Source organism: Homo sapiens, chromosome 9 (assembly GCF_000001405.40).
Source record: "Homo sapiens chromosome 9, GRCh38.p14 Primary Assembly".
In the NCBI taxonomy this organism is placed as follows: domain Eukaryota; kingdom Metazoa; phylum Chordata; class Mammalia; order Primates; family Hominidae; genus Homo; species Homo sapiens.
In genome coordinates, this window is record NC_000009.12 from 103,986,549 (window position 1) to 104,001,865 (window position 15,317).

General features: G+C 37.5%; 2 long non-coding RNA genes across 4 annotated transcripts in view; one reads left to right on the forward strand and one right to left on the reverse strand.

Annotated features, from left to right (window-relative positions):
* Positions 1-15,108, reverse strand: part of LOC105376193 (uncharacterized) — a 45,342-nt gene extending 30,234 nt beyond the window's left edge. For 2 of the 3 annotated variants that reach the window (XR_930194.2, XR_930196.2), the window contains exons 1-2: positions 12,868-13,079; positions 10,955-11,135 (exon numbers count right to left, since the gene is read on the reverse strand). This is a non-coding gene — a long non-coding RNA (uncharacterized LOC105376193). Of the gene's footprint in view, positions 1-10,954; positions 11,136-12,867; positions 13,724-14,251 lie in introns of those variants that run through there. The other variant, XR_930195.2, reaches the window with a different exon arrangement.
* LINC03094 (long intergenic non-protein coding RNA 3094) lies at positions 13,161-13,934 on the forward strand. The gene is made up of 2 exons (NR_109803.1): positions 13,161-13,278; positions 13,604-13,934. It is a non-coding gene; the product is annotated as a long intergenic non-protein coding RNA 3094 (long non-coding RNA).
* Positions 15,109-15,317: the final 209 nt, after the last annotated feature.

Below are 15,317 nucleotides of genomic sequence, written 5' to 3' on the forward strand. Positions count from 1 at the left end.
ATGAAATAAATCATAGATGACACAGACAAATGGAAAAACATCCCCTGCTCATGAATTGGAAGAATCAATGTCTTTAAAATGACCATACTGCCCAAAGCAATCTACAGATTCAGTGGAGTTTCTATCAAAAAATACCAATGTCATTTTCACAGATTTAAGAAAAAATAATCCTAAAATGTATATGGAACCAAAAAGAGTATGAATAGCCAAAGCAATTATAACCAAAAAGAACAAATATGAAGGTGTTACTTTAGAAGACTTCAAATTATGCTATAGAGCTATAGTAACCAAAGAAGCATTGGTGCTGATATACAAGCAGACACATAGACCAATGAAACAGAATAGAGAACCCAGAAATAAAACCACATACCTACAAAAAACTGATCTTCAATAAAGGCAGACAAAAACATTAACTGGGAAAAGGATACCCGATTCAGTAAATGATGCTGGGAAAATTGGATAGCCACAGGCAGAAGAATGAAACTGGATCCCTAGAATAAAGACTCAAATGTAAGACCAAACTCCATAAAAATTATCAAAGAAAACCTAGGAAAAACTCTTCTGGACATTGGTGTAAGCAAAGAATTTATAACTAAGACCCCAAAGCAAATGCAGGAAAACCAAAAGTCAATAAATGGGGCTTAATTAAACTAAAAACTTCTACACAGCAAAGAAATAATCAACAGAGTAAACAGACAGCATACAGAATGGGAGAAAATATTCACAAACTGTACATTTGACAAAGGACAATATCCAGAATCCAAAAAGGAATTCAAACGAACTAGCAAGGAAAAAAAAAACCTATTAGAAAGTGGACAAGTGAAACTTTTCAAAAGAAGATATACAAATGGCAAAAAAATATATATATTTAAAAATGCCCAACATCACTAATCATCGGGGAAATGCAAATTAAAATTAAAAATGCAAGTCAAAAACAATAAATGGCTTGGCTATGGTAAGAAGGGAATGCCTAGACACTGTTAGTAGGAATGTGAATAAGTAAGACCTCTATGGCAAACAGTATGGAGATTTCTCAAAGTTCTAAAAGTAGATCTACCGTTCACTCTAGCAATCCCACTACTGGATATCTACCCAAAGAAAAAGACACCTGCACTTACATCAAAAAGACACCCGCACTTGTGTATCTATCACAGCACAATTCACAATTACAAAGATGTAAAATCAATCTAAATGCCCATCAGATAATGAATGGATAAAAAAAATGGTGTGTGTATATATACACATAGAATACCATGGAAGTAGTATACCATGGAACACTATTCAGCCATAAAAAAGAACAAAATAATGTATTTTGCAGCAACTTGAATGGAACTAGAGGCCATTATCCTAAGTGAAGTAATTCAGGAATAGAAAACCAAATACTGCATGTTCTCAGTTATAAGTAGAAGCTAAGCTATGGGTATGCAGGGGCATACAAAATGGTATAATGGGCATTGGAGACTCAGAAGTAGGTAGGATGGCAGGGGATAGGGATGAAAAATTATATATTCTATATAATGTACACTATTTGGGTGACAGTTACACTAAAAGCTAAGACTTCGCCACTATAGAATTCATCCATATAACCAAAACCATTTGTACTGCTAAATCTATTAAAATAAAAAAATTTTTTTTTAGAAAAAGGTACTTTCAAAACAAATAAAACTACTTTGAAAGAAATAGCTGGATTCTGCTGAGCACTTTGAAAAAGAATACTACAGAAACTAGACTACTTCACAATTATTTTTCTTCACATGAACTAGTTGAACACAACTGAAAGATTCTTAGAGTTAAAAGGAAACAAAAGTTTTTGGGAAAATATCATTTTCCAAAAGCCTACTTTTTACCTTCATGAGTCAAGTGTGAGATGAAACACAGAGGCAAAGTACAAGAGAGAGCTGAGAAGATGTGCAAAGGTAGAATGAGGTGGGAGGGTTCCAGAGCTTTCCCTTGCAATATTCTCTTACTGAGTACTGGCCACACAGGTGGGCTATTTTAATTATATCCCTATTTTTTTAAGAAGGAAACAAGAGACCCTGATCAGTAATTGGGTCTTAATGTCTTCTCATCACTAATACCAGGTAGGTCATAGTCCAACGAATACAAATTAGATATTTATGTTGCAATATTCGTTCAGTTGTTTCCAAACCACTCGCTCACCAAAGACAATTCATTTGCTTTACAGGCTAACTTTGTCTTGAGACATATTTGCTTGCTCTATTCCATCTGGGGCTCTGAACAAGTTTCTTTAGAAAAAGAGAAAATAATAGAGTGAGAACTGATAAATTTTGGAAATAGATCCCAGATTTTTAATGATGCCAAGAAAAAAGGAAGGCATATAATTTGTAAAGTACCCACAGGGCCCTAAAACATGATTAGTCAAACACATAGAAAACATTTTCACATCTTTTCTTAATTGTAACAGATGGTTGAGCAATAAATTTCTATTTCAGGCTAAAGGATGTTCTGTAAATATATCTGGCTGGAGCCCAGGCTGGCCAGTATAGTATTTCATTGTTCAGAGAAGATCGTTTCTGTATTAATGAACTGTTAGAATTGCTCCCACTAGCTGCCTGGGCGTAACTATTATTATTGAAATTGAAGCCCTTAGTATAACAAAATTTCAAACCTAAAAGGAACAAGTCTTCCATAGTCCTCTCATTTTATAGATAAAATAAACAAAGAAACAAAACTAAGGCCTACACAGGTAAAGCGGTTTTCCCCAAGCCACACAGCTAACTCATTACAGAGCTCGAACCCAAACTTGAAACACCTTACCAGTACATGTGTGATGCCACCAGTAATAATGAGACTCAAAAAGATGAGAAAATAACTTGTCCAAAGTCACACATCTAGTTCATAACAAAATTCTGCATACATTCAGATCTTCTCAGTTGAAATTCTATAATTTCTGCACTATCCTCCAAATGACATCTTATAAAAGAATTCCCAGAATGTATTAGTTCCTATAGTAGAGATTAGGGGGCAGAGAAATAAGCATTGACTCTGGAATTAAATAGACCTTAAATTCTAATATCAATACTGTCCATTGCTAGCTGTGTGGACGTTGGCAACACACAAGTCTCATTAAGCAACAGAAGATACATTAATCATCTGTACAACTGAGACATTAACACCAACATCTTAAATTTGATATGAGTTTTAAATTAGAATAGATACAAAATACATAGTACAGTGCCTGGCACATTCCAAGCACTCAACAGATGTTAGTTGGGCTGATTTTCCTCTATGTCAATATCAAAATACTCAGATTCTTTAGGATATATGTTGTTGGCATGTCATTAATTTGAAATGGGGAGAAAAGATTCTTCTACTCTGTGTAAACCACATTAGTCATCTACTTACATCTTCAAGTCAGTGGTTGGGGCTGGAATAGGAAGAAGTAGTAAAAAGGAAAGTAAAAAGAGTATATCAAAAAAAAGTTGAACCCACCCACAAGTGAATTGAAACACCAGAAAATATTAATATGTAGGCTTTGAATTCTAATGACGTCTGTTTCAACCCATGTTAGCTGTCATTTATGACATGACGTGCCCCTACGAAGTCTTCCAGACATCAACTATATCAGGAGTCTTCTAGCAGAAACTCTCACTTCACTCCCTCACTCCCCTCCCACCCATACATCCAGAAGAAACAGGAGTCTCATCCTCAAGACAAACATGAAGCCCTGTGGGCAAGGAAAAGAGGAATTAAAAAAAGCCAAATAGACTGAGTCCCCCTGGCAGGAAGGGTAGGTGAAATTGGCCCTTAATATGGGTAACCCCAGGTTGGGGTGCCTTAAACTTGTCACTGCTGTGCATGAAGAAGCCAAATGGCCAAAAATCCTGACCCAGGGAGGTTGGCTTTGTTGTTCCCATTTTACAGATGAGTAACAGACCCTCTGATAAAGAGATGTATGTACTGACAAAGTTAACACAGCTTCGTAAGTGACAGAATCAGTATTGATAGAGCATTGCAAGAGAAGAGAGTCCAGGATGAATCATCACGGCAAGAGTTACAGAGAAAGGCACAGGAACCAGAGGCACAGTCCAGAGGGTCAAATGATCCAGAAACATTTACCCTCTAAGCTCAAATGACCCATTGCCAGGAGTAGGGCTTTCACTTCTACCAAGCTGATAGAGCTGGTGAACAGGTGTGATGAAAGTCAAAGGCACTGGCGAAGAGCAAGCAAAGGGAGTTCCAAGCAGATGTTCCCTGTTGGGCATTTAGATTGTGGGCTTCTGCAGAAGCTATTTACTCCACCTGGAACACTCCCATCTCTTAAAGTTATCTGAAATATAAATAAAAATAGTTACCATATGGAGAGTTTTATCTTTGTTCCACTCAGGAAAAAATACTGATATTCTCCCAGTTAACATGCACAGAGATCATCTGGGGATAACAGGTTGTGTTACCAGAAACTCAGTGCCTTAAAATAACCCAAATTTATTACCTTACAACTCTGGAAATTCAGAAGTTCAAAATGGGTCTTATGGGCTAAAATCAACATAGCTGCCGAGCTGTATTCCTGGCTCTGGGGAAAAAAACCTATTTCCTTAACCTTTTCTAGTTTCTAGGGGCTGCCTGCATTCCTTGCCTCCATCTTCAAGGCACGTCACTCTAACCCTGCTTCTGTCATCACATCACCTCTCTCTGCCTTTGACTCTCTTGCCTCTCTCTTACAAGGACCTTTGTGATTACAATGAACCCAGCTGGGTAATTCAGAGTAATCTCTCCATCTCAAATTCCTTAATTTAATGACAATTGCAAAAACTTTTCTACCATGTAAAGAAACATAGATTCACAGGTTCTAGGGAGTAGGACATGGGCATATTTGAGGGGACATTATTCTTCCTACAAAACAGGTACATTGTTTATTTGAAGTTTTAAAAACTGAGTAAAACCTATCCCTCTGTATTGACCTATCACAGTCTCTTTCACTAATATCCTATGTTGGAAATGTTAAAAACCACAGTGATTCCTCTCTCAATCCTTTCCACACTCAAACTCTAAAACATCTCCAAATTTTCCCCTCTATCCCATTTACATCCCTAATTCAGGCCCTTCTTACCTATTGCCTGGATTATTTCAAAGGCATCCAAACTCATCCTCATGCCAACATTTTCTCCCTGTTCAAAAGCATTTTGCAAAACGCTCCCAGAGTTATGTCTTAACACACAATTGTTAAAAGAAGAACTTCTGACAAAAGAAATTTAACAAAGTTTACTTGAACAATCTGTGAATCAGAAAGCACCAACATGAAAGGATGTTATGGGCTCTGCTCCAGTAGTAACATGAGCAGCAAGCTTTATAGGCTGATCACCAAACAAAGAAATTGCCTGATTGGCTGCAGCTAGGCATTTCCTTTATTTTGGTATGATTCTATGGAAGGTCCCTAGTTACAGAATCAGTCAGCTAGTTGGCTGTTTATGACTGTCAGAAGTTCAGTTGTTTTTGTTTGGTTTGCTTTTGTTTTTAAGTCAATTACAAGTAATGCCTTCAAGTTAAGTTTCAGCTTGCTTACTTAAGAGCTCCCAGTACAGAGATAATCTTGGGCCAATGGCCTGGCCTCCTCATTTGCTTTGACACAATTATGTGTCAGATTCTTGTTTAAAGCCTCTAATGGCTGCTCATCATCTAACAGGATAAAGTCCACATAGCTCAGTTTGACAATCAAAATCCCTTAACAATCCTACCCCCAAACTACTTTTAAAATCCTCTTTCATGTATGTAACATCCCAGCCACATAGGACTTCTATTTTCAGAGGTCTGTGAGCACTTGAGAATGCCTTGACTTTACTCATTGTAAAGCAATACTCATTGTATTGCTGGATGCCCTTAATCTCTTTCTCTGCCTCCTGAGATTCAAGTCAGCCTTTTCATACACCTCCAAAATACCAACCAAATTTTACCTGCCTCTTCCTCCAAAATATTTTCTCAAAATGCTGTACCCAGCCAAATTAGTCATCCCCATGTATGTTTACAATTCCTCATTCTTTTTATTATAATATCTATACTTTTAATTACTAGTTATTTTTATCATCGAATGCCTTTTCTCAAACCAAGAGTTTATTGAAGGCAGGGGCTGAGACTTTTTTTTTAAATTTCTGACCCAGCATTGAATATAAGCCTAGCTCATGGTAGCTATTCAATAACGTTTTTTGTTCTGAGCAAAACTGAGACTCAGATTGGTTCTTTACAGAATAGTAGATCAGTGACAGCCTGGGGAATCAATTTATTAATAAACATTTTTAATTTTACTTCGGATAGAAAAAAGAAAGAAAGAACACTTTCGTTTACCATTTTTTTCTTTCTTTTTTTTTTTTTTTGCACTGATATCTGGAAAGACAGAGAAATGGAAGATAAGATTTGCCTGTCCTGACCCAGTCTAAAAAGTAGAAGTAACATAGAAAGAGCAACAACAGGGGGAAGCTAAAGAGATCATGATAAGAATCTTGTAAGACTTGGGAAAAGAAGTACTAATTCAGAGGTCCTCATGGCAGAATTTTACAGAGGTAAGTACAAAGTAACCATCCTATGCTACCATAGTCTCAGAGGGTTGAGAGTGGTGACCCATGGAGAATCTCTGTTCTCATCAAGTACAGGGGAGATAAAGGCACCCAGCAGTTTCCTTCTTACAGAAAGTCTGGTAATCATAGCAGGTGCAGAGTTTCTCCCCGAAGCGTATTTTGGGCATCAAATACACTTTAGCAAAGTGTTCCTAGCACTTTAGCAAAATATTGGAGCAGAGAAACATAAAGGAATTTATGCAAACTCATAAACCTTCTCTTGGGGATTCCCAGAAATACTTGTGGATACTCCAGAAGCGTTAAGCAAGCTGAGGTTCTGCAATCATGCAAATTAGAAATAAGAGTCATGGGAAGCTGAGTGATAAAGTTCATATAACCTCATATTTATTCAAAGCTGGTGAGGCCTGAGATCATTCAGGTTAAATAAAAGATTGAATAAATGAATGAATGATATGCATGATGGAATGGAGGTGGGAATTTTTACCAAAATCCAGGTTTTATTTTCAGTGTTCAGGTCTGTGCTTAGTAGGAAACTGTAAATTCATTTTATTGAAGGTGTGTTTCAGATAGGAGTTAATTATTTTAAAAGCTTAATTCAGTGGCTGGCACATGTCCTAGTTTCACTGCTAAGTCTATCATCCTAAACCTATAATGAACTGCAAGCTTTTTAACACTATACAGTTGTCCCTCCTCAGATCTGTAGTTTTGCTCCTCTGCTTCAGTTTCCTGTGGTGGGCCAAGATCCAAAAATAGGTGCATGCAGTACAATATTTTGAGAGAAAAAGAGAGTACACATTCATATAGCCTTTATTACAGTATTATAATGGAGTTCTATTTTATTATTAGTTGTTACTCTCTTATGATGTATAATTTATAAATTAAGCTTTATCATAGGTATGTATGTAGAAGAAAAAACATAGTCCATACAGACATACCTTGGAGATATTCTGCATTTTGTTCCAGACTACCCCAATAAAGTAAATATTACAGTAAGGCAAGTCACACAATTTTTTTGGTGTCCTAGTGTATATAAAAGTATACACTTTGTCCTAGTCTATATAAAAGTAATGTTTACACTTATAAACAGTATATATATATATGACTATAAACTATAAATGTTTATTGTCAATCAAGCGAAATGCAAATCAAAACCACAACGTGATACCACCTTACTCCTGCAAGAATGGTCATAATAAAAAAATAATAGATGTTGGCATGGATGTGGTGAAAAGGGAACACTTTTACACCACAGATGGGAATGTAAACTAGTACAACCACTATGGAGAACAGTATGGAGATTCCTTAAAGAACTAAAAGTAGATCTAGCATTTGATCCAGCAATCCCACTACTGGGCATCTACCCAGAGGAAAATAAGTCATTACATGAAAAAGACACTTACACATGGTTGCTCATAGTGGCACAATTCACAATTGCAAAAATATGAAACCAGCCCAGATGCCCATCAAACAACGAGTGGATAAAGGAAATGTGGTATATATATACATACACCATGGAATAACAGCCACAAAAAGAAATGAAATAATGACATTCACAGCAACCTGGACGGAATTGGAGACCATTATTCTAAGAGGTAATTCAGGAATGGAAAACCAAACATCACATGTTCTCACTTATAAGTGGAAGCTAAGCTATGAAGATGCAGAGGCATAAGAATGATACAATGGACTTTGGCGACTCAGGGGAAAGGGTGTGGGGTGGGTGTGGGATAAAAAACTACACATTGGGCATAGTGTACACTGCTTGGGTGATAGGTGCACCAAAATCTCAGAAATCACCACTAAAGAACTTATCCATGTAACCAAACATCACCTGTACCCCCAAAATTACTGAAATAAAAATAAATTTTTTAAAGTGTGCAATAGCATTATGTCTAAATACAATGCACATATCTTAATATTAAAATACTACATTGCTAGAAAATGCTAATGATCATCTGAGCCTTCAGTGAATCCTAATCTTCTGTTGGTGGAGAGTCTTGCCCCAACATTAATGATTTCTGACTGATCAGGACAGAAATTGCAGAAGATTGGGGTGGCTGTGGCAATTTCTTTTTCTTTTTTTTGGCAGAATCCAGAAGTCATTACAAATCGTATTTCTTTTTTGTTTTGTTTTGTTTTGGGGCTGTAGCAATTTCTTAAAATAAGACCCCAATGAAGTTTGCCACATGGATTGACTTTTCCTTTCACAAAAGAGTTCTCTGTCATATACGATGCAGTTTGATAATATTTTACCCAACAGTAGAACTTCTTTCAAAATTGGAGACGATCCTCTCAATGTCTGCTGCTGCTTTATCAACTAAGTTTATAAAATATTCTAAATTCTTTGTTGTCATTGCAACAATATTCACAGCATCTTCACCCAGAGTAGATCCCTTCTCAAGGAACCACTTTCTTTGCTCATCCATAAGGAACAATTCCCCATCCATTCAAGTTGTATTATTAGATTGCAGCAATTCAATCACATCTTCAGACTCCACTTCTAGCTCTAGTTCTTTTGTTATTTATTTCTACCATATCTGTAGTTACTTCCTCCACTGAAGTCTTGAACTGCTCAAAGCGATCCATGAGGGTTGGAAGTAACTTCTTCCAAACTCCTGTTAGTGTTGATATTTTGACCTCTTTCCATGAATCACAGATGTTCTTAATGACATCTAGAATGCTATAATTCTTTCCAGAAGGTTTTCAGCTTACTTTGCCCAGATCCATCAGAAGAATCGTAACCTGTGGCAGGTATTGCCTTACCAAATGTATTTCTTATATAAGATTTGAAAGTGAGAATTAATCCTTGATCCATAGGCCACAGAATGGATGTTGTTAGCAGGCATAAAAACAACATTAATCTCCATGTACATCTCCATCAGAGCTCTTGGGTGACCGGATACATTGCCAATGAACAGTAATATTTGGAAAGGAATTTTTTTGAGCAGTAAGTCTCAACAGTGGGCTTAAAATATCCATGCTGTAAACAGATGTGCTGTCATTCATTCTTTGTTGTTCCATTTATAGAGCACAGGCAGAGTAGATTTAGCATTATTCTTGAGCCCTTTGATTTTCAGAATGGTCAATGAACATTAGCTTCCATTTAAAATCACCATCTTCATTAGCCCTAACAAGAAAATCAGCCTGCCCTTTGTCCTTTGAAGGCAGGCATTGGCTTCTTTCTAGTCTAGATGGCATCGTCTTCCAATATAAGGCTGTTTCATATACATTGAAAATCTATTGTTTAGCACAGCCACCTTTATCAATTATATTAGCTAGAGCTTCTGGATAGCTTGCTGCAGCTTCTGCGTTAGCACTTGTTGCTTCACCTTGCACTTTTATGTTATGAGACAGCTTCTTTCTTCAAACCTCATAAACCAACCTTTGTTAGCTTCAGACTTTTCTATGCAGCTTTCTCACTTCTTTCAGTCTTCATAGAATTGAAGAGAGTTAGGGCCTTTCTCTAGATTAGGCTTTGATTTAAGGGAATGTTGTGGCTGGTTTGATCTTCTATCCAGACCATTAAAACTGGAGTAGCACTTTTAAGTTCCTTCAAGAAGTTTTCTATTGCATTCACAACTTGGCTGTTTGTTTCAAGAGGCTTAGCTTTTGGCCTATCTCAGCTTTCAACACGCCATCCTCAATAAGCTTAATCATTTCTAGCTTTTGATTTAAAGTGAGAGAGATACAGCTCTTCCTTCCATTTGAACACTTAGAGGTCATTGTAGGGTTATTAATAGTCCTAAATTCATTATTGTCATATCTCATGAAACAGAGATGCCCAAGGAGAGGGAGGGAGACAGGACAACAGGTGGTTGGTGGAGTAGTCAGAACACACACAACATTTATGGATTAAGTTCGCCATGTTATATGCGTGTAGTTTGTGGTACCCCAAATAATTACAATAGTAACATCAACAAATCAGCAAATATCACCATAACAGATATAATAATAATGAAAAAGTTTGAAATGCTGTGAGAATTACCAAAATGTGACACAGAGACATGAAGTAAACACATGCTGTTGGAAGAATAACCCTAATAGACTTGGTTGATGCAGGGTTGTCACAAATCTTTCATTGTTAAAAATAAATTGCAAAATCTGTGAAGTGTTATAAAATGAGGTATGCCTATATAAGGTTTGGTACTATCTGTGATTGTAGGCATCCACTATGGGTCTTGGAAAAAGTCCCCTGTGATAAGGGGGGAATACTGTACATCAGTTTCTTTGTCCATGGAACAGAACTCCAATTTATCCACTACACAGTATAAAGGAAAGCCAGATATGTAAAATATTTTTTCTAAGGAATGAAACATGCTGAATCAAATAAAGCATAATGATCTATTTAACCTTGCTCTTAACTGAGGGGAAAAAAACAAAACAGTATACAGAGTTAAAAAAAATGGAACTTTAATATAGTTTACCTTGTCCGTTGTTTAACTGCCTATGAGATGCTAAGTTGAAATATTGTCTAACGTTCTGCCAGTAGGAGAAAAAAAATAACAGCAGATGGGCCAAGCAGAAGGCAGTGCCAAATCACTTTGAATTCTTTTCTGTGTAGTTTTTCTTCCAGTTTCATTATAGATATGACTGTGATTGATAATCCTACATCAGAAAACATATATCAGATATTCTTATAATTGTATTACACATGTGTTTCTTTTAGGGCCACTTCTATAAGCAAGATAGTATAATTAAAGTCTTTTCTAGACGGCATAGAGACGATTAGGAATCCTTGAGGAGTGAAAGAATTATCTAAGAATAGTGAAAATGAAGAGACTACTACCAGGAAACTGCATACACTAATGCCACTGGCCTGTTTTTGATGTTAACTGATTTTACCCATGAAGATGCTTATTAGTTATCATGCACTCACTCTGATCTTGTTCAATTTGTCATCAGGAGCTAAGTGGTGTAACGGCAAAGGCAACAGATGTTGGGGATGACAAGCCAAATTACTGCAAACTCCGTCAATAATTTCCCCTCAAAACTAAATGGTATGACTTTCTAATCCCCTGAATTCATTTCTTTCATAAGCAGTCTATGGGTTTCCATCTGTTTCCTGGACACAGATAACCTTACTTCCTGCCACACATGATAAGTCTACTCATCAGAGTTCAACCAGTATTCCTTTGTCATTGCAAAACACTTCTTCCAACTGCAGCATTCTCAATCAGGACTGCAATTGAAAGACTGGTAACAGTCCCACAGGAAATATCCATCGTTTGGCAGGCCCACTTTGAATCCAAAGCTTTTGAATTGTGCATTGTCCAGTGTATTTTAAAAGTGTTTTCATAATTATATAAAAGTATGTTTATAAAATGTCTTCCTTCAACTTTTATACTGAGATACACTAGTTTATTAGTAATGAAAACTGGTTTATTCAAATAATATACTGGATTACTATTACTAAAATATATATTAACTCATATTGATTGCAACAACACTGTGATTGTTATTCACTATTTACAGAGGAGGAAATCAAGATCTGGAGAGTTTATTTTTAAAATCTTATTGAGAATTTTCTGGGCGTTAGACAAGAAAGGCATGAAAGATATAGCCATGATAAAATCAACATGGATTCTGTGCTCATGGGTCTTAAATCCAGTAAAGGAAACAGGATTTAAATATGTTATACTACTAACTATAACAAACGCTATGAAGAAAAGGGTGCAATCGTAAATTATAACAGTATGGTATAATTTAGATTGTAAGGTGAGGAAAGCCTTCTCTGATTAAGGGATTTTGAAGCTGAAATCACACGGATGATTGGGAGTTACCCCGGCAAAAAGTAAAAGAAGGCTAGGCATCACTTTAGAAAGGTTTTAGGTGGGAGAGAGGCTAACCCATTCCAACAATGGATAAAGAGGGGAAAGTGACATGCGGCAAACCTAAGCAGGAAAACAGGGAACATATACGGGGTCATGTTAAAGTACTACCTGACTTGTCCAATGTCACACAAATAGAAAATGGCCTTGCTGAGACTAAGTTTCTTAATTTCTATTCTGCTGGTTTTTCCACTTTGCTACTACACTGTCTTTTTACAAATGAGTGAACAAAGATATTCTCCTATTTTGAATTCATATTTTCAGATGACGGCCTTTAAAAAGCAACAATACGGTAGTGATTTATCAAAATTGATTGTTGGCTAAATTAATATCTTAATAGTGGGTTGTTTATATTCATTACATTAATTAGAATTTTAGCTATACTAAGATTTATTAGAGAGACACAGAGTGTGGCCCGCTCCCCCAGGGCCCTCCAGGCCCTTCGGCCGCGGGCCGGCGGGTGAGCTGGGGGTCCCCAGGACAGGCCGCGCCCTCTGTCCTGCAGACACCTGAGGCCTCCGATGTGGCTGCCCACTGGCCGGACCCAGGTCTTGAAGCCGCGGCGAACCTCTCATCCCCACCCCACCTCGGTGACTGATGGCGGCAGCGGCTTGTCCCTGCCGGGACCCCACCCAACACCGGGTCTCCCAGCCCAAGCCTGCCGGAACGCAGTGTCTTTGGGTGGCGGCGGGAGTGGCGGGCCCGGAAGCATGGCGGCCACCCAAACGCCAGGCGATGGAAGCCGTTAGGGCGTGGCGGAACCGGAAGGCGGCCTAGGGACGCACGCAGGCTCGGCTGTCTCTTTAGGCCACGGAGCTGCGTAGATCCGGAACCCTGGGCGACTGATCTGTCCCCATTGGGCGAGACCTACCTAGACAAAGGCCTTAACATACCGACAAAGGCCTTAAGGGGCCTGGGAGGTGAGCGAAGTCCCGAAAAACGGGTGGAAGGTTAGGGGCCATGGGGCGGCTGGTCTTCCTTCTACCAGATCTTGCTGTTGGGAGAAATGGTAGAATGACAGGCCACTTTTGGCCCGTTGGAAATGCCCACCACCCTTTGGGAAGATTTACTGGCCATTTATGGAAGGCCTGTGTATACAATATGAAAAACCTGCCCTCAACTCCACCCTAGCCTGTTGATAGAAAACATTTGTCACATCTAGCCCTTCTAGATGGAAAGAGGTTCCTGACGTATGATAAAGTAGAGTTAGAAAGTCACATCTTGTAAATTCTCATTTGTTTAAAGGAAGTCGTACAAAATAAATGTCTTCTGGAGATGATTTTTGGAAATGGAGTTATTAGACAGCCCCTGGAAGCGATACATCCACGTTTGTTCAGTGGGTTAGATGACATGGAGCTGGAAGACCTGAGAAGGAAGAGAAGAAGGTTCTATGACAGACTGGTCATATTTAGAAGACACTTTCATATTCTATCCATAGTTTTGTATGCATTTTATTCCTCACTACCTTATATATAGTTGACAATGCTAAGCTTTTTTGAAATGTCTGTTTTTTTAGATGTTCTGAAGTGCCTGATATATGTTAAAATTAAAGGTAATAAAAACACATTTTGTAAGTATCTTTTTGTTACAATTCATAGAAAATGTTGCTTTGGTGGGGAATGGCCAAATCACCTGTTGAGTAATACTCATTGTGTTTGTGCGCTGGTTCAGGGGAGGAGGGAAGAGGGGAAAGTGCAGAGAGCTCTATGCCACCCTGCCTACAGCGGGGCAAGATGAATCATCTATTTCTGTGCATTTTGTTTTACTTATCTGTGTATGTAGTGTACATAAAGGACAAATGAGCCCTAATTTACAACATCTAGTCTTTCTAGATGCTAAGGAGGTTGCCAGTGTCTGACAAAAGTAAAGTTAGTAAACTAATATATTTTGTACATTTTGTTTTACAAGTCCTAGGAAAGATTGTCCTCTGAAAATTTGAGCATTCTTGCCCACTGGGTTGTTGGAGATAGGAAGGGTTCTAGGCCAGAACGTTCATATTTGGAAGATTCTTTCAAATTATAACTGTTGTTACATGTTTGCGGTTTATTCAAGACTGCTTTGTACAAAGTGGACAAATTAACTCCTTACTTGAAACATCTAGTCTATCTAGATGTTTAGAAGTGCCTGATGAATGTTAAATGTAGAGGTAGTAAAATACCATTTTGTAAATATCTTTTTGCTGAAATTCATAGGAAATACTGTCTTTTGGAAATTGAATTGTGAAGCCACCTTTGTGAGAAGTATAGTGCTGTCTATACTTGTTCAATGGTTTAGAAGAGGTAGGAGGGAAGAAATTGCAAAAGGTAATACGCTAGTATGTTCATAGTTGGACTTTTTCAGACACCATTTTTCTGTATCTTTTGTGCATTTTGTTTTGCTCTGTATATAGTGTATATAATGGACAGGTGAGTCCTAATTTTGCAGCATCTAGTCTAGTCTCTAGATGTTAAAGAGGTTGCCAGTGTATGACAAAGTATTTAGTAAAATTAGTATATTTTGTATGCTTTTGTGTTGAAATTCATAGGAAAACTTGTCTTCTGTGAATGACTTTTGCATAGGAATTTGTTCAACCATCCCTAAGCATTACATGTGCCCGTATTTGTCCACTGTATTAAAGTCAGAGAGAGAAGGAAGTGAGGAGGGAATGATTGAAGGCCAAAATATTCACATTTAGAAGATACCTCAGTTGATAACCATTGTTCCATGTGTGCAATTTTATTTAACAGTGCTGTGTACGTGGTGGACAAGTTATATGAAATATCTAGTTTTTCTAGATATTTGGAAGTGCTTGATGTATTTAAAAGCAGTAGTAGAATAACACTTTTTGTAAACAGCTTTTAAAAACTGATAGGAAATGCTGTTTGGAAGTGGAATTGTTGAGCTACCTGGGAGATGAGAGTGAAGAAATAGCAAAAGGTGTTTTGCCGTTGTTTATTAGAAAATTTCAGCTTAATCCATT